The sequence below is a fragment of the Homo sapiens genome, chromosome 9 (genome assembly GCF_000001405.40).
Source record: "Homo sapiens chromosome 9, GRCh38.p14 Primary Assembly".
Taxonomy (NCBI): Eukaryota; Metazoa; Chordata; class Mammalia; order Primates; family Hominidae; genus Homo; species Homo sapiens.
Window position 1 is genome coordinate 117,871,847 of NC_000009.12, and position 26,471 is coordinate 117,898,317.

The 26,471-nt window shown below is 36.6% G+C and overlaps 1 long non-coding RNA gene across 1 annotated transcript in view; it reads right to left on the minus strand.

The window, feature by feature from the left end:
- Positions 1–6,718, minus strand: part of LOC105376243 (uncharacterized) — an 8,863-nt gene extending 2,145 nt beyond the window's left edge. Inside the window, exon 1 of the long non-coding RNA XR_001746917.3 lies at positions 3,113–6,718. This is a non-coding gene — a long non-coding RNA (uncharacterized LOC105376243). The remainder of the gene's footprint in view (positions 1–3,112) is intronic.
- Positions 6,719–26,471: the final 19,753 nt, after the last annotated feature.

Here is a 26,471-nt window from a genome sequence, read left to right on the forward strand (position 1 = left end):
ATTACCATTTTTATTGTTAGTCTTTTAAACTGCAGGCAAATATCAAGAGTATCTCTTAATTGTATGCGTATAAGATGATCTTACATATCTCAAGGACTATTGGTATGTCCATGTTTTAAAAGTATATTATCAGCTGGGCACGGTGGCTCATGCCTGTAATCCCAGCACTTTGGGAGGCCGAGGTGGGCAGATCACGAGGTCAGGAGTTCGAGACCATCCTGGCCAACATGGTGAAACTCTGTCTCTACTAAAAATATAAAAATTAGCTGGGCTGGTGGCAGATGCCTGTAATCCCAGCTACTCAGGAGGCTGAGACACAAGAATCGCTTGAACCCGGGAGGCAGAGGGTGCAGTGAGCCCAGATTGCACCATTGCACTCCACCCCGGGTAACAGAGCGAGACACCGTCTCAAGGAAAAAAAAAAGTGTATTATTAAAGTAAGAATACCTGGCTTGTATGGCCAAGACAAGCAGAATAATGTGGAAAGCTCTTTCCATCAAGCTGCTCAGTATGTCCTTGATAAATTCTGTGCTGATCCTACTTTGAGCATTTCTGTGGACTTCGCTGCAAGGACCCTGGTCCTTTGAGATATTTGTTTTAGGAAGTACTGCCATTTCCATCTCTAGCTGGGTTATGACGACTATATAGCCAACGTTTCTCTCCTAGATGCTAGCACTGCTATAATTAAGTAAAGAAAGGAAAGTTCCTTTGTTCTTCACCCAGCAGGTTACTTGACAGCCTTCTAAGTGCCAAGCGCTCTGCTGGTTGTTGGAGACACACCAATTGCCCTCAAAGAATGCACAGACGAATGTAGGATAGGATTCAACAACAACAACAAAACCCTTGCATTTTAAAAGACAGAGTTTGGTCCTCCAGTATAACTTAGGGTTTGCTTTTATTAGGTGCTTGATTTGGGGCAAGTAATTTGACTGGTCCCATACTCACTTTTCTCACGTTTAAAATTAGCACCTACCACAGCAGTCAGGAGGACCACATAAGCTAATGTGAATATAGTGCGTATAGCAGTGTTTTGTGCATACTAAGAATGTAGTAAATACTAATAGCAGTAGTAATAATTAAAATGATTATTATACCAATAATTATTAGTTTTACTATTTGTTCAAAATATTTCAAACAGAACAGGAATGGGGAAGGGTATCAAATATTGAGGCAGGAGAAGTAAACAAAGGCTGGATTATGAAGGGTTTCATGGAGCCCAAAGGGTAGATGGAGGATTATGATAGAGTTTTACAAAGAGGAGTTTTGAACAGTAGAAAACAACTTAGCCTTCTACTTCTGACAGATTATTTGCCCCTTGGGTGGGATGTAAGTGCCTGCAAGTTCAGGATTGGTCCATTCTCATGACCCACAGGTGTCTTCCTCCTTGATGTGTCATGAAAAATTAAAATGAGGACAGTTCAGTCAACAGAGTGTCTGTGAAATTAATGAACCCCTTTGCCTTCAACACCTGGTAATTATATCTTTCAATTAAATTAACTCTCTAGCTGTCTACAATCTTATAAATTAACTCACAGTCTTATATCTTTCTAAGCAGCCAGATCTTTTCACAACTCAAACCTGAGGGGCCAGAGATACAAAGCAGGGTCAGGGAAGGCAAATGAAAGGACCTCATTCACTTTTCTGCTTGTCACAGAAAAACTTGAGTCTCTACTTTCTCAGCTTGGTCACTAGAGCCAAAAAGGTATGTTTTTGTGTCACTGATGATCTATTTGGTCTGTATTTGAGCATATCTCATGGCTCACTGGAAAGGGAGAATTGAACTAGTAAAGTCTGCTGTTGAGTATTACTCATATAAATTCATTCATTCACTCACTCATTTATTCAATTCTTGAGAACAAGGAAATCTAGAGATAAAAAAAATTGTCACTCTGTTGACTGAACTGTCCTCATTTTAATTCTTTGAGGCACTGATGATCTCTGAAGTGAGCGAAAAATACAAACTGGTTAAAAATCAGGAAGTGAACTTGCATATTCACCAATTCTTTCAGCGGATAATTTTTGAGTTCTAAACATGTGGAAAGCACGGAACATTATAATAGGGGAAGTACAGGAAGATATAGGACAGTGTAGCAGAGGGTTTTCCACTGGTCTCGGGCTTAGTGAACCACTCCATAAAGTGACATTTGCTCCAGGACCTGAAGAGTTGAGAGAACAAAAGTGTCTAACAGCGTAGGCAGGGGGAGCAGGGGAAGTTCATAGAACAGGGAGTTTAGTAGAGCTGGAGCAGAGAGTAAGTTGGAGAGGTAAAATGATGAAATGAGCAGGGTCAGACTATGGAGGGTCTTGTAATGATGTTTAGGAGTTTTAAGTTTTCTCTTAAAAGCAAAGAGAAGCTGTGTAAGGATATTAAGCTAAGGAGTTTTCATGACCCTTGTGGTCATAGTATTTTTCATGTGCTCTTTAAGTGATCACTTTACTTGCAATGTAAGGAAGTGTCTCGAAGGCAATAAAACTGGAAATGGAAAGACAATTTTGAAGATCCTTGTGCAAGTGCAAGAGGGCTAGGATAGGTACCGAGGAGATAGAGAGAAATGTAGAGATTCACTGAGCAGGTGAATGACTAGAGGTGGCAGGTAGGAAGAGGAAACTATAAAGATGATGACTGCCTTCCTGGTTTATGTCACAGAGCAGCTGCAAAATATTTTAACTTCTACTCCTCTTTGAAAAGCGTCCCCAAAATACAGGCAACAGAGCCCCGAAGAACGCAGGTGGCAATTAAAATGTATTGCAGTTCTATCAAATGGATTGTCAGGAGAGACTTCTTTGATAATCTGCAAATAGAACCCAAGCATTGAAACTACTGGGTATAGATTTAGTCTTCTTTTTAGGAATATGTAACATAGATGAACAGAAAGGAATAAACCAAAGAATTTTTATGGAAAATATGAATAGTAATTTCATAATTCTTACCTCCTTTTATCACCCTAAGCAATGCTCTAAGCTTGATATACAGATGAGGAAACATTTGAAAAGTTAAAGTGAATTGGTGTACACAAGTTTTTAACTTAGCTCTTCCTAATTCGAGTCCCTGGCTCTTTCTAGATGAACACACTTTTCTATCATCAGCCACAAGTATTTAGGTAGAACTTACTATGTATGCAGATCTGTTAAGACATGTGAAGTTTAGGTTTGTCACAGCCATGGCTTCGTCGATTGATTAGTCTTGAAGCTGAAATGGCAAAAATGCCCCCGAGAGAAAATACATTGAAGCAATCAATTATTTCTTTTGTACCTCCTACGACAATGTAAAACAGGCAAGGCTTCTTAGAGTAAGAATTCCAGAGAGCAGCATGTATGGCCTTCCAATCTCATCCTCTGTACATTGTAATGTCATTTGTTCATAGTGCTGGGACATTCTACTTGCTGTGGCTTTTCCTAGCACTCATGAACTAGCACCGAGAAATGTGATCTCTAGGCTTCAGACCCCAAGATCATTCCCCTTGTCTCCAGAACCTCCCTGATATTTTTCATTACTACTTAACTCTCAGAATTGTCTGAGCTCTGGTTTTCCTATCTGGTCTGCGTCTCAGGAGAAAAAATTGCAACTCAAGTTTATTGACCTTGTCAATTTATACAAGGAACTCAAAAAATGTTTTTATTGGACATTATATAACTGAACACTTATTGGAGCAAAAGTGTGGAAGTCCAGACCCAGGGCTGTGTTCTATCTAGGTTAAACATGACAGAATGACACAGAAAGTAATGTGGGTAAATAAAAACAAATGATAAATCTACAATCATCTTTAAAATCAAAGGCTAAATCCCAGCTGTCCTACTTCTTAACCCTAAGACCATAGCCTATTTATCTAACTTCTCTGAGTCTCGGTTTTCCTATCTGTGAAATGGGATTATTAAAGAGGACTCAGTAAAAACAACGCATGTGAAGCTTCTGGCACAAAACCTAGCACAATGATAGGAAGCTGTTTTACTCACGTTAATCCATACATTGATTTTGTTGTCTCTGCTATCCAGAATCCACCCCTATTTGCTCTCAACAATTAATTTGTGAATTACAGCAACTATGGTTGTTTAATTATATCATTTTATTGACTTTTTCAGTTTAATAATATAATGATATACTTGGCTAACATTCGAATATCTACTTTGTACCATGCACTGAATTTAATGTTTCACATGCATCTATCGCTAGGGATGATTACAATATTCAGATGATGCATAACTGTTGTTATTGCCCACCCACTTCTTTTTGAAGATGAGGAAACTGGAGCTCACACATGTTGAATTATCTAAGATTGCAACATTTTAAAAATCCAGAAAATGGAATTAAAAGCCATGGCTGCTTTACTTAGTAACCTTACACTATACAAACTATTACTAGTTTATAATATTATTTAAAATAATTTCACAGGTCTTTCCCCTAATTTGGACTTTTTTCTTTTAATTGGAGATTCAATATCTTCAGTGCAAATCAATAAGCACTCTGGAGAATACATCAATGAGACTATTGTGAGGGTACATCTTGTGTACGCTTGTGAGGGTCTTTCCTAAGCAGGAGGAGATGGCTGTATAAAAGGATTACTGTTACTTATTTCTATATTTTTCCTAAAGAAAAGCAGGAACTACATTAATTCTAGATTGAGATCAGAAACTACTTACCTTACAGGACACGTGTTGTGTGCAGCCACAGGTTTCAGAAGCAGATGGCATGTGCTAAAGAGTGTATGTATGAATTAGCTCTGGGAATAACTTCTGCTCCAGGTATAAAAGAAATTAGGAGGAGAGCCAAATTAAAATTGGGCAATAGGCCTATGCAGAGTGGTACTTTTATATCTCCTTTTCCTATTGTGTGTATGTGTGTGTGTAGAGTGCGTGTGTCTGCATGTACTGAAAGCACACAAACACAAATAGACCCCTACCTGTAGGTTTTATACATTTACATTGTACTCCAGAAAAATAAAAATGATTTTTTTTTCTTGACATTTACAGTCTCAGATTAACAGACGTGTGTAGGATTTCAGTCCCATTTGAATACACCCGATGGATGTACGACCTTGAGAAATTTACTTAACACTTCCAGGTCAGCCCGGCGTGGTGGCTTATGCCTGTATTTCCAGCACTTGGGGAGGCCAAGCCGGGTGGATCACGAGGTCAGGAGTCCGAGACCAGCCTGGCCAACATGGTGAAAACCTGTCTCTACTAAAGATACAAAAATTATCTGGGTGTGGTGGTGGGCGCCTGCAATTCCAGCTACTCGGGAGGCTGAGGCAGGAGAATCATTTGAACCTGGGAGGCAGAGGTTGCAGTGAGCCAAGATCACACCATTGCACTCCAGCGGGGGCAACAGGGCTAGACTGCCTCTCAAAACAAACAAACAAACAAACAAACAAACAAAAACATTTCGGGGTCAAATGTTTGTCACCTAAAAACAAAGCCATTGAGCATAAGAAGAACATAATGGACTTTGGGGACTCAGGAGGAAAGTGTGGGAAGGGGATGAGGGATAAAAGACGACAAATATGGTGCTGTGTATACTGCTCTGGTGATGGGTGCACCAAAATCTCACAAATCACCACAAAAGAACTTACTCATGTAACCAAATACCACCTGTTTCCCAATAACCTATGGAAATAAAAAAAATTTTAAAAAAACCAAAGCCATTGAGTAAGATATTTGCTTTCATTTACATCTAATATTCAGAGTAAAAGAGTCTATAAACCGAATACTACCTAACACTGCAGAATTAAACTATGTTCACGTAACTAATCTTCAACATTCCCTAATCCTCCATCCTACAAACAACACTCCTGTCCATGTAGCTTAACAATATTGGCTGAATTAATTATCAGAAGATAGTATAGTATGCAATAAAAACAATGCTCATGATTCTTCAGGCTTTCTGCATCCACAGCCTTTAAAATTTGGCTCTGTTTCTCTAATTCTTGAATCTGGACAACTAGAGTTGTCACCTGTTTTGACCAATAGGTTGCCGTAGAATTGACATGCTGTGACTTCCATAACCCACTCACCAAAAGATGTTGTGTGTTTCCACTCTCTCTCCTGGAAACCAGACAAGTGCCAGGATAATCAGATAAGTCTGGTGGACTGGAGAAGAAGAGACCACATATAACAGAACTGAACCATTCCAGCTGAAGGCATCTTAGATAAACTAGCCCTCAGGCAATCTAGCAGTTGACCACAATTGCATGAGCGAACTCAGAGGAGATCAGAAGAGCTTCTCAACAGAGCCCAGAGTAAATCATTGACTCAGAGAATTGTGAGATAACTTAAAGATGCTGCTTAATGCCCCGAAGTTGGAGTGTTTTGTTACACACCAAAAGTCAACTGATACATGGAGCTGTCTACTTGACTTTTTTAAAATGAAAATCTTCACACATTTCAAGACTCCTATCTGATTCAGTTTTTTCAATAATGTCTGCTCTAGTAATTTCAATCTACATTGAACATATTCATTTATTTATTGGACAAACATTTTGTAACTGTTCATTAGGTTTTCTTTTTTACTTGCACTATACTTTTGTCCTTTATCACATTAAATACTGCCTACATTAGATTATCTGTTAGCATCTTACCATATATTAGGCCATTTTCTGTCTCATAGCAAGTAGAAGGCTAAAATCCACATTTCCTAGACTTCTTTATCATCCCATTCTAGCTTAACTTTTACAAGGTTAAAAGGTACTGGCAAGGTATTTGGAAGGTCAAAAAAAAAAAAAAAGAAGAAGCCATGATTACTCTAGCAGTAGGTGGTGCTGGGCTTTGTCAGAAGAAGATATGATATTTTGTCAGTAGCTCATGTTTGTTATCCTATAAATTACTTACTTTGATGCTCTTAGTAACTGATATGCTTAGCAAAAATTGTTGGAGATACTAGTACTTTCTGGTATTAGCATCTTCCCTGACCTTTTCTAATCCTGTTCTTCCAAAGGTTTTATAAGAGTATAGTTCTCTGTATTAAATCATTTTATGTTGGAAATATTTAGATTGATTTCTATTTCCCACATTGAACTTTGAGAGGTTTTTTAATATACACTTATGTGTATATTATGTGTGTAATATACATACATGTGTAATATACACTTATGTGTGTGTATATATACACACACAAAATTATATATATAAGGTATATATATATTAACTATAAATGTTAATATATATAACATAATTATAAACATGATTGACAATAGAGTACAAATTTATTAACTATATATAAAAATTATTTAGCACTAATAATGTTCAAGAATTTATAAGTAGTAAGATTCATCACTCTTTTTTTTAATATGGGTAAATTGAGATCCAGAGAAATAAATGACTTTTCCAAGTCAATCATGAGCTACTGTCATCACTGAGATTGCTATGGTAATTGATTGGCATAATTGGACCTGCAGATTTCTAGAAAAAACATGGAGTTAGATGTCTATTTTATAAGAGACCAGGCTCTCTAGGGGGAAATGCAGGTGTGCTAGGGCTGGGGTGGAAAGTAAGGGACAGTAAGACTGGAAATTTCAGGCCACCTAGCCTCATTTTAAGAAGAGTAGCTCCATTTTAATCTACTGCCTATACAGTCATCACTTGGTATCTTCTGCAGACTGTTTCCAGGACTCTGCATAGATACAAAAATCTAAAGAGTCTCAAGTCTTTGGTATAAAATGGCATCATATTTCCATATAACCTACAAACATCCTCCTATACACTTTAAATTGTTCCTAGATCAGTTAAAATACCTAATACAAGACCTACACATCACTTCATTCATGTGGATTCAATGGAGTACTCAGTGCTTGGCAAAATCAAGTTATGCTTTTTGGAACTTCATGAATCTTTTTCTAAATATTTTTGATCCGTGATTGGTTGAACTCACAGATGCAGAACTTATGGTTATGGAGGACTGACTTGTATATGCCTTTCTTTTAATATTTCATTTAAAGATAGAATGGATTAAAATACCTTTCAAACTATTGTAATTATTGGCAATCCGTTGCTTGAGAAACAAATTAGATGTGATTGACAATATAGAGTACGTTTTTAAAAATTCTTATTTCTTAAAACAATTTAAAGTATAATTGATGTACTATAAGTTGTACAAACACAGTTTGTTGTGCATATGTACTTGTGATCCCATTGCCACAATAAAGATAATATACCTTTCTATCACTTCCAAAAGTTTTTTTGTGTTCTTTATAGCCCATCTGTCTCTTTACTCCCAATACTGAAAAACCACTGATCCAATTTCTGTCCTCAGAGATTAATTTTCATTTTCTAGAGCTTTATATAAATGGAATCATGCACATGCACTTTTTTGTTTATTTCCTATCACTAACATAAAGTTTTGGAGATTTATCCATATTGTTGCACCTACCATAGTTTGTTCTCTTATATTGCAGAGAAGTGTTCTGTTACATGACTATACCACAATTTGTTTATTCATTCACCTGTGGAAATAAATTCAGGTTTTCTCAAAATTTTCTGGTTATTACAAATAAAGCTGCCATGCAGGCCAACCTTGTTTTCTTGTGTTTTACTTTATTGTACTTTGTAGCTACTGCAATTTTTTAAAATTAAACGTTTGTAGCAACCCTGCATGAAGCAAATATATCAGTGCCATTTTTCCAGTAGCATATGCTCACTTCATGTCTTTGTGTAACATTTTGGTAATTCTCACACTTCAATTTTTTTTTTTATTATTGTATTTATTTTGGTGATCTGTGATCAGTGATCTTTGATGTTTCTCTAATCATTGTTTTGGTGCACCACAAACTGTAACCATATATGACAGTTAACTTAATTGACAAATGTTGTGTGTGTTCTATGCTTCACCAACCAGCTGTTCTTTCCCTCCCCTCCTCATGGCTTTTTTTCATGTTGACTTACACGTTGATTTGATGATCTCTGCTGTACAGTCTACCACTATTTGCCCTCAAGAATTAATATGTGAATTATAGAAACTATAGTGGTTTGATTATATTCTCTTATTGAAATGTTTAATTTTAAGGAATTGTCCCTATTGCTTGAAACATAACAATGTGTGTTCAAGTGAAAGGAAGAGTCTCATGTCTCCCACTTTAAATTAAGAGGTAGAAATGATTAAGATTAGTGAAAAAGACATGTAGAAAGCCAAGACAGGCCAAAAGATAGATCTCTTGAACCAAGCAGTCAAGTTGTGGAAGTTTCTTGGAGGAAATTAAAAGTGCTACTTCAGTGAACACACAAATGAGAAGAAAGCAAAATTGCCTTATTGTTGATATGAAGAAAGTTTTAGTGGTCTATATAAATCAAACTGCCACAACATTTCCTTAAGTCAAAGCCTAATCCAAGACAAGGCCTTAACTCTCTTTAATTCTATGAAGACTGAGAGAAGTGAGGAAGCTAAAGAAGAAACACTGGGAGCTAGCAGAGGTTGGTTCATGAGGTTTAAGGAAGAAAGGTCTTTCCATAACATAAAAGTACAAGGTGAAGCCGCAAGTGCTGATATAGAAGTTGCAACAAATTATTCAGGAGCTCTACCTAAGATCACAAATGAAGGTGGCTACACTAAACACCAGATTTTCAATGTAGACAAAACAGCATGATTTTGGAAAAATGTGTCATCTTGGAGTTTTCTAGAGAGCAGTAGTCAATGTTTAGCTTCGAAGCTTCAAAGGACATGCTGACTCTCATGCTGTTTTGTTTACTTTGAAAATCTGGTGTTTAGTGTAGCCACCTTCCTTTGGCAACACCCTCACAGACACACCCGGGATCAATACTGTGCATTTTTCAATCCAATCAAGTTGACAGTCAGTATTAGCCATCACAGGAGGCTAAAGAAGCTGGAGTGGGAGGAATGCCGTTCCCCAAACTATGACAAGGCTCTCACAAAATATTTTCACCACATGGATTAGGCCTTTGTTGTGGAGAACGTTCTGAGTGTATTTCCCATTGATAAATTCTCCTCTCCCAGCCAGAGCCCTAAGGGGCTTTTTCTCATATTTTCACTCTAATAACCTGTTAGGGTTCTTGGAGATAAAGCCCATAAACTTATGGAGGCACTTCTGTGACTGTAATATTCAGGAATTTCTAATTCTCATGCTAACCTACACTTTCTCCTCCTATTTGTCAAAACTACTGATATGATTTGGCTCTGTATCCCCGCTCAAATCTCACGTCAAATTGTAATCCTCAATGTTGGAGGACGGGCTTGGTGGGAGGTGATTGAATCATGGGGACGAAGTCCCCCCATGCTGTTCTTATGATAGTGAGCAAGTTCTCACAAGATCTGGTTGTTTAAAGTGTGTAGCACAGGGATGTCCAATCTTTTGGCTTCCCTGGACAACATTGGAAAAGGAAGAATTGTCTTGGGACACACATAAAATACACTAACATTAACAATAGCTGATGAGCTAAAAAAGAAAATTGCAAAACAAATCTCCTAATGTTTTAAGAAAGTTTATGAATTTGTGTTGGGCCACATTCAAAGTGATCCTGGGCTGCATGCGACTCACAGGCTGTGGGTTTGACAAGCGTGGTGTAGCACTTTCCCCTTCTCTCTCTTCCTCCTCCTGTCATGAGATCTGCCTGCTTCCCCTTTGTATTCCACCATGACTGTAAGTTTCCCAAAGCCGCTCCAGCCATGCTTTCTGTACTTCCTGAGGAATTGTGAATCAATCAAATCTTTTATCCTTATAAATGACCCGGTGTCATGTATTTCCTTATAGCAATGCAAGAATGGACTAATACAACTATCATTTATGTGTTCCTGCTAATTTATGGCTTTAGTAGCTTCTGCCCCACATAAGCAACTCTTGGTTGCCTCTGTGTATAAACCTGTCTCTCCAGATTTTAGGGTGAAAATTTACCCTGCAGCTTCCACTCTCTGCTGATTCCAGGAAAAGTCCTTGATTTTCAGATTGTTTGGTGTATCTTGTTGTAAGACCAATGGTGATGGCTTTCAAGCTTTTTAAATGTGGATTTTGAATTTGGAAGTCTCCTCTTATTATGGATTTAAGTTGCATTTCACATAGAGGTCTTTTATATTAAAAAAAAAATGCTGGCCGGGCGTGATGGCTCACACCTGTAATCCCAGCACTTTGGGAGGCCGAGGTGGGCGGATCATGAGGTCAGGAGTTCAAGACCATCCTGGCCAACATGGTGAAACCCCATCTCTACTAAAAATACAAAAAAATAGCCAGGTGTGGTGGCAGGTGCCTGTAGTACCAGCTACTCGGGAGGCTGAGGCAGGAGAATGGCGTGAACCCGGAAGGAGGAGGTTGCAGTGAGCCGAGATCACACCACTGCACTCCAGCCTGGGTGACAGAGTGAAACTCTGTCTCAAAAAAAAAATGCTGTGTTGGGTCTGTTAATTTTATTGTTATTCTTCTCTGTCCCTTTTTGTCACTAAGTGTCACCAATGGTATGTAACTTTAATGAGATTTAAATGGTGAAGTTTACCTTAATTGTATATGTATCCCTAATATCTGGCATTGTGCATTGCTCTTAGTATATGCTTGAAAAATCTATATTAATTTAATAAAATAAATCCAGCAAAAGAAAATTACTCATCATTAAACTACAAATACTATGGAGTAAGATGAAGTCTTTAGCATCAAAAAGCTTTCAGTAAGATATTGACTGGAATATGTTTAATGACGATGCAAATTATTTCACATTTTGAACATTTACTATGTGAAAGTCATGATGAAAGCATTATAATAATTCATTAATCATCTAATACTAACAACTCTCTTACCATATCTCACCATCATACACTTAAGGGAACTGAAGTCTCAAAAAGCTAAACTGCCCAAGACTTTTTGGCCCCTTAACAGCAGAGCCAATCTAAGTCCAAAGAACTAGATTAGAATTAAGCTGTACCATGTAACAGCTCTGTGAACCAGTATGATAACCTTCATCTTGTTAAATCTCAAGATTTCATCTAGAGTAATAAGGAAAATAATAGTTTTTATGTTCCTATTAGTGTTAAATGTGATTTAATGGATTTAATTAATATTAGTTTTTTCCTTTATGTCTTACAGTAGCTTAGAGAAAATGAAGATTAGTAAGATTATCCCTTTCTTAAACATTTCATTTTCTTACTTTTTTCCTCTGACTTTCTTATTTAGTCTTCTGGGACCACTGGTCCATAAGGCACCAAATTCTGGCTGGTTAGTAAAGGAGAATGGAAAGAAATCTGTTATTGTTAAGCCGATATTGATCCCTTGACTTCACTAGATGATCTAGAAGTAACTTATTGGCCCTTGATGCCTATTATTTTGAATCACAGAATTTGTGCTTAAGTAGGGAGAACATCTTGAAAATATGAAGTTGCCATTGAAAAAGCACAGTAGTCATCCTTAGCTGCAGGTCTGGAGTGGTCATATGGGCCAGTTTGGTATAGTGCTTAAGAGTATGAACTCTTGAATAAGATAAATATGCACTCCTAAATCAGCATTACTATTTCCATATCTAGAAAATTGGAATTAAAAGCAACCATCTAAATAAAAATATTTTTATCTATGTGCATATTTATTCCACAAATATTAATTGAGTTCTTTTCTAGGAAATTAACACAAAGCAATGAACAAAGTAGTCAAAAATCGCTATGGTCAGAAAACAAAAAAAAATGAAGTTCATAAGCCAACGTATTGTTGGTTGATAGATATAGTGGTAGTCTTATAGAAATTCTTTCCTGATTGTGGCATAGAGTAAATATTTGAAGGAACTCTAATAGGCGGGATAATTGATATTGAGCTTCTGTAATAAACAACTAAACTTAAGAACTTCATTTTTTTCTTTTCTGACCATAGTGATTTTTGACTACTTTGTTCATTGCTTTGTGTTAATTTGCTAGAAAAGAACTCAGTTAATATTTGTGGAATAAATATGCACATAGATAAAAATATTTTTATTTAGATGGTTGCTTTTAATTCCAATTTTCTAGATATGGAAATAGTAATGCTGATTTAGGAGTGCATATTTATCTTATTCAAGAGTTCATACTCTTAAGCACTATACCAAACTGGCCCATATGACCACTCCAGACCTGCAGCTAAGGATGACTACTGTGCTTTTTCAATGGCAACTTTATATTTTCAAGATGTTCTCCCTACTTAAGCACAAGTAATTAACAACTAACGTAGCTTAAACCAGCAAAAGAAAAAAAGAACTTTATTTCTTGCCCACAACACATTCCAGTATGTCAGGTTAGTATGGGAGCTTGTGGGAGGAGACTCTGATTTATAACATCATTCAAGAACCAAGTCTGACAGAAGAACCTATAATCCTCAATCGTTTTAGTGCATGACAACAGGGATCGACCTGATTATTTCTATCCAAAAAGTGTTTGGGAAATAAGACAGAACAGAAGATCATGCAGGATATTTTATGGGCAGGCCTGGGTGGATCAGTGTTCAGTCACATTCCCCCAAATAACTACAGGTAAAGTCGGAAAATGTAGCTTTGCTGTGTGCCTAAAAAGAAAACAAAACGGATTTGGTAAACTCATAGCATTGTCTATATTACAGGAAGCAAATGGGATAATGTTTGTAAAGCACCTGGCACACTGCCTGGCACATAATAAGCCTTCAATAAATGGAGGCTATTACTACCACAAGAATTTTAATTTGTTAGAATATAACACATTTTTATTGAATTTGGGTAATTACAGAATGGAACATTTTGTTCTGCATAAACCCACTTGATTATAAGAATAGCAGTGCCATATTACATTTGCATTACGTTTTACTGTTTATGAAGCACTTCCATAGATATAATCTCACTTTGTTTTTTTTTTCTTTTCAGTACTCTATGAAACAGGTAGATAATATTCCTATTTAACCATAATCAAACACTTTTAGAGAGTGGTATCCTAGCCAAGGTATTACAGCTAATAAATGATAGAGACAAGATTCAAATCCAGATTGTTTTACTGTGAGGTCAGTTTATCTTATTATACCACCACTACCCAAATCACTAAAATCCACAACTGTTCTCTACTATTAAAAATTTGGTAATGATTCCTGTAAAAGCTGGGCGATCTGTGAGTCCCAAGTTTGTTTTTTATTGTGATTAAGAAACATCCTTTGTAAGTGCCTAATATCATATTTCTTTTTAATTGATGCATAATATTTTACATATTTCGGTGGTACATGTGATAATTCATTGCATACATAGAATGTGTAATGAACAACTCAAAATATTTGGAGTTTCCATCACTTTGAGTATTTGTCATTTCTATATGTTGAGAACATTTCAAATTCTCTCTTCTACTTACTTTGAAATATACAATACATTGTTGCTAAATATAGTCACTGTACTCAGCTTTAAACATTAGGACTCAAAACTTCTATCTAACCGTATATTCTAAAGAAATTTATTTATTTACCTTTAAGATATTGGGTCTCATATTTTAAGAAGGACTTTGAAAAATGGGATCATGTCCAGAAAAGAAAAAGTAATGAGAAGGTGAGAATATCTGGAAACAATATTAAAAAAGTAATTTTTGGTGAAACTGTATATATTTATGTAGCAGAATAAAATATCAAGGAAAGACATAGCTATTGCATTCAAGTATTTGAAGGACTCCAGAGGAGGGTCCATAGTTACAATCATTTTTTGCATTCTAGATTTTTGATTATTTAAGTATATATTTTTCCATTTTTAAATCTCTACTGATGAGTGTGGTGCCTGGTACAGGGTAGAGACTCAGAAAATGCTGGGGGGAGAGTGGAATAAGAATATATGTGATATATAGAATAAGCCACTTGTTAGACATGGCACAAATGCAAATGTCTGCTCCACATAAAGAGGAGCTATTGAACAAAAGGTGTGTTATGATCATGCAATTGAGTACCTTGTGATGTAATAAGCTTCCTGTCTCTGAAAATAGGAAAACGCATGTTAATAATTTCTGAATGAAGCAGAGAATTGCTAGTCAATCTCTGAGACTCTTTAACTCTAAGATTCCCTCAATACTTTTACACTAGTCTCATTTCATAAAAGACACATGGGTGAACACATGGAATGTAATCCTTCCGTTATGTGCCCACACCTGAAGTGCTCATTAACACCATCTGACAAACTTCTCTTCAGGGAAGCAGAGATAGCCCATCAGATCCTCATAGATTTTTCCATTATTAGCTTCTTATGTTCTCTCTTTGTGCTAGGTTTTCTCTTTCTCACCACACAATCTCACTTCCCCCAGGAAGTAATCTAACTATTTCTTTGGTGTCCCGAGTTTCTCTATATTTTCTTGGCCTTAAAGGACATATTCTGTTAGCTCTTCTCACATTATTATGATTCTCTGTATGTTATGAAATATCTTTCAATTGCATCTTGAAGGAATATCTCCTAAATGTCTTATGTTTACACTTTTACTTCCCTTACTATTTTATTCTTACATAGGTGAGAATAGAATTTTCTCCTGACATATCATAGCCATTATCAATTAAAAGACATTATATCGCCACACATTGTCATTAATAATAATCTATCGAGTTTCAATAGCAGTTTATATAACATTTTCTTATTTATATTATTTCCTTATCTTATTTCCTTCCAATAGTCCTATGAGACATAAAGGCAGTTCTTACTATTCCCATCTGACATGTAAGAAAACTAAAGCACAGTGAGGTTAAATGACAATCCAAAACCAGCCAGCTTGTTATTGGGAATTTCAGAAACAGAATCCACATCTTATTATTTATTCCCTTATACTTTTCCCAGCTGCATGCCACCTTCTGTGGTTGCTCTCTTTTTGTCTCTATTCTGCCTGTGATATGACTCATCTCTGCTTACTCTCTCATAAAGAATCTTCTTTCTTTGGTTATCCTTTGAATTGGGAAACATTGCATATTGACAGAAAAACGGCTATTGAATGGAAACACAGAGACAAACTTGACACTCTGCATAAGACTTCAGCATTTCTGTTACAAAGTTTGGGTTTAATGAGAGTCGCTTTTCTATCCTCACTAAATGTAGTGGATGAAGTTTCCATCTTAAGCATTAGTACCACTGCCTCAGATATAGTGCGGAGAGAAAAAGAAGGTAGGCCCTAAAGAAAGGGATATTGACAAGGGAGTCAATATCCCAAGGGAGATGACTCTCAGGTTCTCCCTACAGTCAGCTTCTCAAACATGAAACTCCAAGCTAAACTGTACACCTATCCTTAGCGTGTATCCATCACACAGGCTGTGGATTCTGAGAGCTTGAAAATTCTTAGACCAAAGCACAAGACTGACTCAAGAAACATAAACTCTTTAATGCTCAGGGGATAGCATCATGGATTAGGCTGGCAGAAACTATGGGCGGCTGATACAGGGCAAGGGCCTTAGTAAGGCCTATTGCAGCTGTTTGTGGTGCTGACTGAAAACCAACCTTGGCGTTTAACCTGCTTAGTTCTGTGGTTTTAAATTCCAGTCATTGATGGAAATACATCTAACATTTTATACTGATTCTGTCTGGACAATTGCTTATAATGGCTACTCAAATGTCCAAATAAATTAAACCCTTTGTGATTTCACCATTTGTGATGAAACCTTTAATTTAGTTTCTAACTCAAATATTTTCTGTCTTAACATGCTTATTGTTTAAAACTTGACCTGTTTTATATTCTACTTCAGCCCCAACTTAAGCATATCTCTTGATTGAGCCATTTTCTCATTTGGAGAGCAATCACTTGGTACCTAACATGGACCAAACACAAGGGTAAGAGTTCGAGGTCTCATCCCCATTCATTGTCTTCTTATGTAAAAAGGAGCATAGTATATCAAAGATTAGCTTTTGTTGGGCTTCGGTAGATTCCTCAAGGTGATTAGCATTTGGAAATTCAAAACTAAATGATTCATAGGAGCTCTAGGCTGAAATCGGTTTTTACTTTATTATCTTCTTCTGTGTACTTCCAGGTAGGACTCTCCCTTGAAATAGTCAAGAGATAGGAAAATGAAAACAGTTTTTTGATTTTAAAAATGGCAACCTAGGTATTAATTGTCCTTGTAACCTTCGACAGTTTTGCTCCCTGGTGCCTCAGTTTCCTCCTTTGTAAAATAGCTATTGCTTCCTAGTGTTTTGCTAGAGTTAAATGTGATAATTAATGGAAAGGGCCTAGTGCAGAGTCAGGCACATAGTAAGTGCACAATAAATAGTAAATTATTATTATATATAAATCCTTATTTTTTCTTTTTACTTCAGATAGTCACAGCTACTTTAATATTCATAATACACAGTCATCATGTAGTTTATTACTTTCTCTGCATTTTACATTTATAATATTATTTCCCTCTCCTGACAGAGACCTATAAATTTTATTTTCAATTATTTCCTTCCAATATACTTTTATATATTGATTTATGTTATGAAAGTATGAAAAATATATGGTTTGATGTGCATATTTATGACATTTAAATTATGACAAATTGTATTATATTGCAAATATTATTTTCATAAGGTTTTTTTCCTTAACATCATAGTTTGGGAAACAAACATCACCACATATATATTCCTCAGTCTTTCTGATCATTTAGTATATCTCTTGGACATGTGTTTCATTTAATTAATCTGCTCTCTTATTGATAGACCCTAGATTGCACCCAACTCTTTATGACCCTGTCTGAAATATGGACGGTGTACAATGGAATCCATGGCTTTTTGCGCATCTGTGTAAAAGTTTATCACAGGCCTATACGTAAGAGTACAGTTGCTATTCTTTAAATTATAGGCAAACTAATGAGATAAATGTCATGTGAGATTTTTCAGTGTGGCTTGTTAGCTTATGTCTCTCCCATCAGCAGTGTATGAGGGTTACCATTTTGGCCTATAATCACAATCATGCAGAATTGGTTTTTCTTCTTGTTGCCATTCTGATTTTGTAAAATCATGTCTTATTACTGCCGTAATTTGCATTATTCTTATCAGAATTGGGACTGAGGATATTTTCCAAGTAAGTAACCTTTCATATTTGTCCTCGTGTACTATCAAAATAATTTTCCCGCTTTTTTGGGGGGCATTGTAGGTTTTTTTTCTATTTTTCAGGAAATATAGTTAATTCTTTATCAGTCATTAATTTGGCAATTATCTTCTCTGAATATGACACCTGTATGTTAACTTTGTCTATAATGTCATGTGTTAAACAGTTATATTTAATTTTGATGTATTAAAATCCACCAGTGTTTTTCTTTGTGGTTTATGATTTTTTTGTCTTGATTTTCAAAATACTTCCTAAGTCTTATTTCTTTTAAAAGTTTAATTACTTTATCCTTCTTATTTAAGAATTGAATTCATGTGCAGTTCATCCTTGTATAGGGTGTGATGTAGAAGTTATGCTACCTTTGTTCATTGTTAAGATAATTGGCTGTCGTGTTCATGGTTGTGGAAAGAGGTGCATGGTAGACAGTATGGATGGATAGGCTGTCCATCAGATACGGGTAAAATTTCCTTCTGTAATTTGATCCAAACAAGCTAAAATTCAGTTCTGATATCTAAATAGCTTTGACAATTTCAGTATTTTCTTTATAGTTTTTAGTTCTTGCGTATTCCTTACCAATTTTGTGGGTAAAAGAGATTTGAACTAGAAGTCAGAAATCTGGCTCTCTTTGTTAGCTTGGCCACTAGCTGTCTTTTCTTTCCCTATTTTAAACTAGAACACACACCCACATTTATGATGCAAGATAACAAAATGGGTGAGAACATATTTAGACTCACAAAAATAAGGACTCAGATTTAAATTCTGGTTCAGTCTTTCATTATTCTCATAAATTTTAGGAAGTATGCCTCTTAAATCTTGATTTCCTCATCTGTGAAACAACTGTGGAATACATAAAAGGTTTTGTGATGGTTAAATAGGGAGGGTTTGTTTACTTATTTGTTTATTACAAACCTGTATGTTTGTTATTGAGGATCATATCACACTTTTTCATCATATTTTCCCAGCAGGAGTCACACTGCTTGGCTCTTAATATATTTTCAGTATTTATTTGCTGAATCCTAAAAAGCAGGCTCAGATTTTAGATGATATTTTATTAATTTTTTTTTCTGATTTTTCCATTGAATAGTAGTACTAGCTAACACTTGTAAAGCCTAAAATATGTACCAGACTGGGTTCTACAATCTTTGCATACTTAATTTGTCCTCATAGCAATGTTCTGACATATGTGCCAACAATAACCCCATTTTGAATGAAGAAAACTGAGGCAAAAAGAGGTGAGATAACTTGCTCAAGGTTTCATAGCTATTAAATAGCATAGCCCATATTGAACCCAGACACTTTGTCCTCCAGAGTTTATGTTCATAGCTATTACACTTTGCAGCTTGTCTTTAGTGTTTGAACAAATCTGCAGGATTATTGAGAGCCTACAGAATAAGTTTGAATACCAGCTCTGCCTCCCACTCCCTGCTTGATCACCAACAAGTGGCTTGACTTTAGTAAGCCTCTGTTTTATTTTCTGCAAAATAAGAAAACAAATCACCCAGTTTCATAGAGTTCCTGTAAAGGCTAAATGAGATAATCCATATGAAGCATTTAGTACAGTGCCTGGGACATATGTATTTAATATACATTAATTAATACAAGCATCATTGCAGGTACATGCATATTTCATCTTGCCTATAATTGAAAATAACCAAGGAAAATATTTCATTTTTTAGCATTTACAAATCAGTCGGTAAATTGAGGCTAGGCACAGTGGCTCACACCTGCAATCCCAGCACTTTGGGAGGCCAAGATGGGCGGATCACTTGAGCTCAGGAGTTTGAGACCAACCTGGGCAACATGGCAAAACCTCATCTCTACCTAAAATACAAAATTTAGCTGGGCATGGTGGTGCTTGCCTGTGGTCCCAGTTACTTGGGAGGCTGAGGTGGGAGGATCGCTTGAGTCTGGGAGGTGGAGGTTGCAGTGAGCCGAGATCGTGCTATGGCCAAGAAGGTAAGTCGAAAATGTAACATGATAAGTTACTTTATAGCAATGCCATATCTGCTAAATGATGTATTTTAATAATTGTCTCTATACTACCATCTCTACTCTGAGTATGCACCTAGTATACAGGTATCTTATTTGCTTTGGACCTCTGTGAAGGAGGGGGTTAAACTAGATTCTCTTTTAGTCTTTTCTTGACTGTGATCATCTATGAGATTTTAATGTGTAACCATGGAAGGTCAGGTTATCTGTGTGGGTGAGAAGTTTTTACAGTTATCCAGCAATGGTCTTGGATGATCTTAATTCTATTTTTATTGTTATAAAAGCAGATCTCAATATCTCTCCATCCTGCCTCTTTCTCCTCTTCTCCATCAACCCTGATCAAGGTCATCTTGCTCTCTTTGGAAGCCCCAAACCTCCTGCCACTGGTTTAATGGTTGCTATAAGCAAAAGGTGAGTTATGAATGTGAAGTGTGTCAGCTACTAAAAGCCTGTGAATTAGAGTTTCCTTCCCCTATCTGTCATGCAGCATACTTTTATAAAGAAATAACTTATCCTTGCAAAAGGGCTGACCTGTCACCAATCTGCTCGGCTGCAGCAGGCCTAGCACCTCTTCATCATGAACTGCTGAAAGAAGATGTCCTGTCTGTCCCAGGTGGGGTTCTCTCAGGGTCCCATGACATATTACAGCTTCTCTCAAGTCAAGGGAGGTTTTGAAAGGGTAGATTACTCTTGATTTGAAAACTGATCTCAATTTTGTTCCAAAGAATATTGGCATGCTTGCACTCAGAAACCTTGAATCTCCACACTTCCATAACTCTTTTTACCCCCACCTTTCACATCAGCTTCCCTTTGGGGCCCTAAGAGTCTGTATACTCTCCCTGGAAGTTCTGAGGGACACATCTGCTCTTAGCACTTTGTGTCACTTTGTCCCATTTTTTAAGGAATGACTAGCTAGCACACCATTGTCTCTAGTCATATAAAATTATACAGAACTTTATACAAGATTTTGGAATTTTCCAAGCATTGTCATGATTTTTTCTTTTCTTTTTCTTCCTTTGAGATGGGGAATTGCTCTGTTACCCAGGCTGAAGTGCAGCAGTGCAATCATGGCTTACTGCAGCCTCAAACTCCTAGGCTCAAGCAATCCTCTCACCTCAGCCTCCTGAATAGCTGGGACTATGGACATGCATCACTATGCCCAGCTATTTTTTATTTTTTTAATTTTTGGTAGAGATGAGGTTTCACTATGCTGCCCAGGCTTGTCTTGAACTCCTGGGCTCAAGTGATCCTCCTGCCTTGGCTTCCCAAAGTGTTGGGATTACAGGTGTGAACCACTGTTCCAGGCTCTAATCATTTTCTCAATTTAATCTCACAACATCTTTTGTATTTCTTGAGAAATACTTTACAAATTTTGCTTCTCCTATTTTACAGATTTATGAACCGAGGCCCAGAGAGGTGAATTTCCTTGCCCCTAGTGACTTACCTTATAAGTGATAGACACACTGACATGCTCAACATAATCCCCAGTCTTCAACTCTCTAGCTGGTGCTCTTTATTTCTGCAGCTCGGCATATTTAACTAACTTTGCCGGACTATATGTTACTTTGTGCCCCTTGAGCTGACTGTCTCCTACATGATTATTTTAAGCACAAGGGAAGTAGGAACTGATCATGCTGGCAGCAAAGATCCTAAGCTTTTCCCCTGATATGGGGGAATGTTTGTGCTTCTGGAGTCAGGATTCAGCATTTAAGTACTTAATATTTTTATAGGGAGATCTCAGAGCACTTTCAACACAAGGGTAGACATCTTTGTAGGTAAAAAAGACAATAAGGTGAGATAAGATAAACCCTTGCTCTGGGCAAGTTGCTGAAGTCCATCAGTGAAATTAGGGGCCTTTAAAAAGAGTAAGTAGAATCTCACAAAGGCTTCAGGGTATACTATTAGTGGTGCTGGGAGTGATGGAAGGGCTCCAAGCACCAGACATGTAAGTCATGGACAGTTTCACCAATAGCAAGCCACTCTTAACTCTTAGGCCAAATGGTGATTCTGTAAATGTTCTCCACAAGACACAGCACAGCAAGTCAGTGGGGCTCTAAGAGAATCTACCTTGACATGGTTAAGGCCGAAAGTACATTAGCATCTTCTGATATGCTTTTGTTATTAAATAAATGCTAGTAGCTACTTTTTGAACAGCTGCCAATCTTTGCCCTGTATTGGAGCTACCATATGTCTGCTGCATCCACTTGCAAGGACTTAACACTGGGTCTCAATTTTATTTCGTAAAAGCATACTGGAATGCCTGTTTAAAATGCAGATCTAGGAACCCATTTCCACAAATTCTTATTAATTTTTACTCTACATTTTTAACAAGTGGCCCGGATTATTTTCATGCAGACCATTCATATTCTACATATTATAAAATGTGCTTTTACTTATTGACCTTGAATGGGAGTAATATACTGGGGAAGGGGTGGAGTGAAGCTTGTTAAACACATGAAGCAATACAGGGAGAATGCAGGGGTTCTTCCCCTAAGGCCAGGTGGTCTTAATGTTGAGCACATGTTTAGAATTATCTACTGGCTTCTAAACTATGCTCCTGTCCACGCCCAAACCAAACTAATTGAATCTTGAACGTGTTTCACCTACACATTGGTGTTTTCTAAAGATCTTACTCCAAATGATTACCAATCAGGGGAGAAAATCACCAGAGTCTAGATGATGGCCCCAACCATGTAGATGTGTGCCTAATTCGCAAGGGATCTTTTCTGTGTGCCTAATTCACAGGGATCTTTTCTGTGAATATCAATGCATTGTTTTTGTTTTGTTTTGTTTTCACAGAGGCCAGATGAGCACATTTCAGTGCTGGCTAAGGTCTAGCACAATGAAGTGACTTCTGAGCTCTGGGGACAGTTGTTGACACTGTTTGGTTTTGACCTTCTTTAACAAATTTAATTAGCTGTAATTAATGGAGCTGCTTCTCTAACTCAGAGGACTTCAGACACTCAGACCCCACAGACTCAACAGTGAGCTCAAACTTTCCTGGATCTTCTCTCTGCACATAAAAGATGACACCCTTTACAGTATCATGAGTAGGGGCCTTTGTCTTTTCACTTCTTGAGAAAATAGAGCATCAGTGGCATCTGTATCCCTTGCCTTCTCCTCTGGGCTTGTTGAAGCAGAACCATCATGGCAAAAGGTCCATGGGCCAGAGGACTGTTCTTTCACCTTTCATTTAAATGAATCTGTCTTTTCTAATAATAAAAAATATATCCTAGTTATTTTTGAAGTGAGATCTATCTGACAAAAAATGTAATAAAATTAAAATTTCCCTCCAAATCCCATTCTTTTTATCATTATGTGAACAGCCCTCTAGGTATCTTTTGTTCTGTATATATAAAACAGAAGCATACTCAAAATGCATGCGAAACAAGTCTGATCACAGAGCAAAGCTTGGCATTTAGTCATTGCTCAATAAACATTTGTCGCACTCATGACTACATATACATACTTATTTGTAACCTGTTTCTCTACTTACCAAAAATTCTGAAGTGTCTTTTCATCTTTACATATAGATCTACCTCATCCTTTAAAAATATTATAAATCAATTGAATTGTTTTGCCATGGTTTATTCAACTAGTTTTCTAACTGAGTTACATTTAGGTTGCTGCCAGCTTGTCAACATAGGGTCTGTACATTTTAAGTTTGATCTATGTTGCCAAGCTACCCTTCAGAAATGGCACCCTCACATATACTCCCACCAACATGCCCTACAATTTTAAATGCTTTCTGTTCCATCGTGTGTCATAGGAAGGGGACCCAATAATTTAGAACATAAGTGGATGTTAAAAGCAATATCTCTTCTCTTAATTCATCCCTTTAAGACAACAACTCAGAAGGGTTCCACAGGAAGTTATTATAACTTTTCAGGTTCAGTGTCAACATAGAATCTAGAGAGTAAAGAAACTAAAACCCTAGGCATCTGGGGACACCAGGTTTTTTAAAAAATTATTTCCACTGCTCTGAATCATCTTTAATTGACTATAAGACTGAAGGAAAGAGTGCTTCAGTAGAGAGAAGGGTAACTTATATTTTTTCATGAAAGTTGAATCTAATTATTACGTGCATTCGATGATAGCTTGAATCTGAATAGAAAGGAGAGGGAATCTACCAGATAGCTATTTGACCTTGAATAACATACTTAAACAGGAAAATAATTCAAGCGTAAGAGCAGCAATGATTGTCAGCAGGGCCTTAATATAGAAATAGTCCACGGTAAAGCCCTCTTGTCTCGTAGTCTTCAGGTATTGTGGTGCAGTTGTAGAGAATTAATTTCTACAGTAGAGTGACCCAAGTTCATGCGTCTTTTTTCTAAGCCTCTTTCCTGTTAGATCTTGAGTAATTTGCTGAAATATTTTAGTCCTTTGTTTCCTTATCAAGAAAATCGACTAGTACTTCATAAAATCTTCAATTTCGCTTTTCAGTATGTATCCAGAGGAAATGAAATTAGTATCTCAAAGAGTTATCTGCACTCCCCTGTGCATTAGGGTATTATTCACAATGGCCAAGATATGGAAACAACTTAAGTGACCATCAATGGATGAATGGATAAAGAGTGGTAATAATAATATACAATGAAATATTATTCAGCCATTAAAAAGAAAGAAATCCTGGTGTTTTTGACAATATGAACCTGAAGGACATTATGGTAAGTGAAATAAGCTACAGAAAAAAAATACTGCATGATCTCACTTATACATAGTATCTAAAAAAGTTGGACTCATAGAAGCCAAGAGTAGGATGGTGGTTGTGGGGGCCTAGGGGTGGGAAAAAATTGCAGGATATTGGTCAAAGCATACATATGTTTAGTTATAAGATGCACAAGTTCTGGCAATGAAATGTACAGCATGAGTGGTGGTGGATGTGTTAATGAATTTGATTATTGTAATCATTATACAATACAGAGAGATTATTGTATTGTATTGTATAATGATTATTGTAATCATTATACGATAGAGAGAGAGAACATAAGTGGATACTATACAGTGTATACATATATAAAATCATTATGTTACACATCATTGACAATTACATATTTAAAATAAAAATAAAAATAATAAAAAATAAATCTATGGATTTTTATGTATTAAGGCAATTAGGATTTATCTTAAAGAAAGAAAGAAAATATAGTACTAAAATAAGCTTAAAAGTTTGTTTCAAAGATTTAATTACTTGAGGCATATTAAAACCTTAGGAGAGTATTGGACAAATACCAAAGCTATCAATAAATGGGAGGCATTAAAATTCATCTGTTAAGTAATGTAGATACAAGAGCAATGCACTTGGAGTTAGAAGAGCTGAGCTGGAGTCAGTTTTCACAACTTACTAGATATGTGGCAAATCACTCTGTTGACAGCCAAGCAGAATTTAAAAAATTAAAAAATAAAGCAAACCTGAATGTTTATTTTTCTTCCACTGTAAATTGGCACTCATCAAATATACTCTGTCCACTTCCAGGTAATTTTAATTTTGGAGGTCCAGATCTGAAATACATAAGACATGCAAAAATCTGTTATACCTATAAATCTCCATGGGAATGTAAAACATTTAGAATTATATTTCCAATATTTTTATCGATGGTCCCTTCTAGCTGTATACTTCCAGGATTCTCTGGTTTTAAGATGTCACAGGTGGATGGAAAGTGTGGGCTAATCAGTGTTCATGTGTCTGTGACACACGTCTGCACTGGCAAGAGAGGGGATTAACAAGGTGTCATGGCATCTAGAGGTGAAGCCGAGCCTGGGGTCCTGCCACTTTTCTGCTGTGTAAATATGGATAACCATCTTAGCCTCCTCAGTCTACATTTCTTCATGTGGGAAAAAAAGTGATTCCGGCAAATGTATTCATACTTCTCTATAAAATTAGCATGATGACCAGCACAGAGTAAGCACTAATAAGCTGCCATTTACTGATCATAAACTGTTCCAGTCACTAAGTTAAGCACTCGGTGCATTCGCGCATTTAATAACTCAAAACACTCAATGAGGTAGGTTATATTTCTATTTGTCCCATTTTCAGATGCGATTTGTGAGGCTCACAGAAGATAAATGACGTAGGTCAGTTCAGAAAGTTGGTGAGTAGACAGAAGACTAATACCTGGTCAATCTGACATTCAAGTTATGGATTTTAGCCACTTCACTTCTAAACAATGTTTGTAAATGTAAATCCTTCTTCAACCATCCACTTGTAAAGTAAAGCCCATTTCAGAGTACTGTTACCTATGTTCCTTTCCCATGCTGTAAACAGTGCAATCAATATGTGTGTGTATGTATATATGTGTATATAAACATATACACACAGACACACACGTTTGACAAGCCTAAGCAAAAGTTATTTCAGGCAATAAACAGCAATTTCGTGTGAATCTAAAATTGGGGCATAACATTTACTACCTAGAAATGGATAATTCCCAATAAGAGTCATCAGAATGTGCAAAGAACTGACAAGGTTTCTGAAATCTACTTTAGATGATGATGACAATGATAACTATGATTCGATGATGATTTCAATCAAAGAACTACTCCAAGA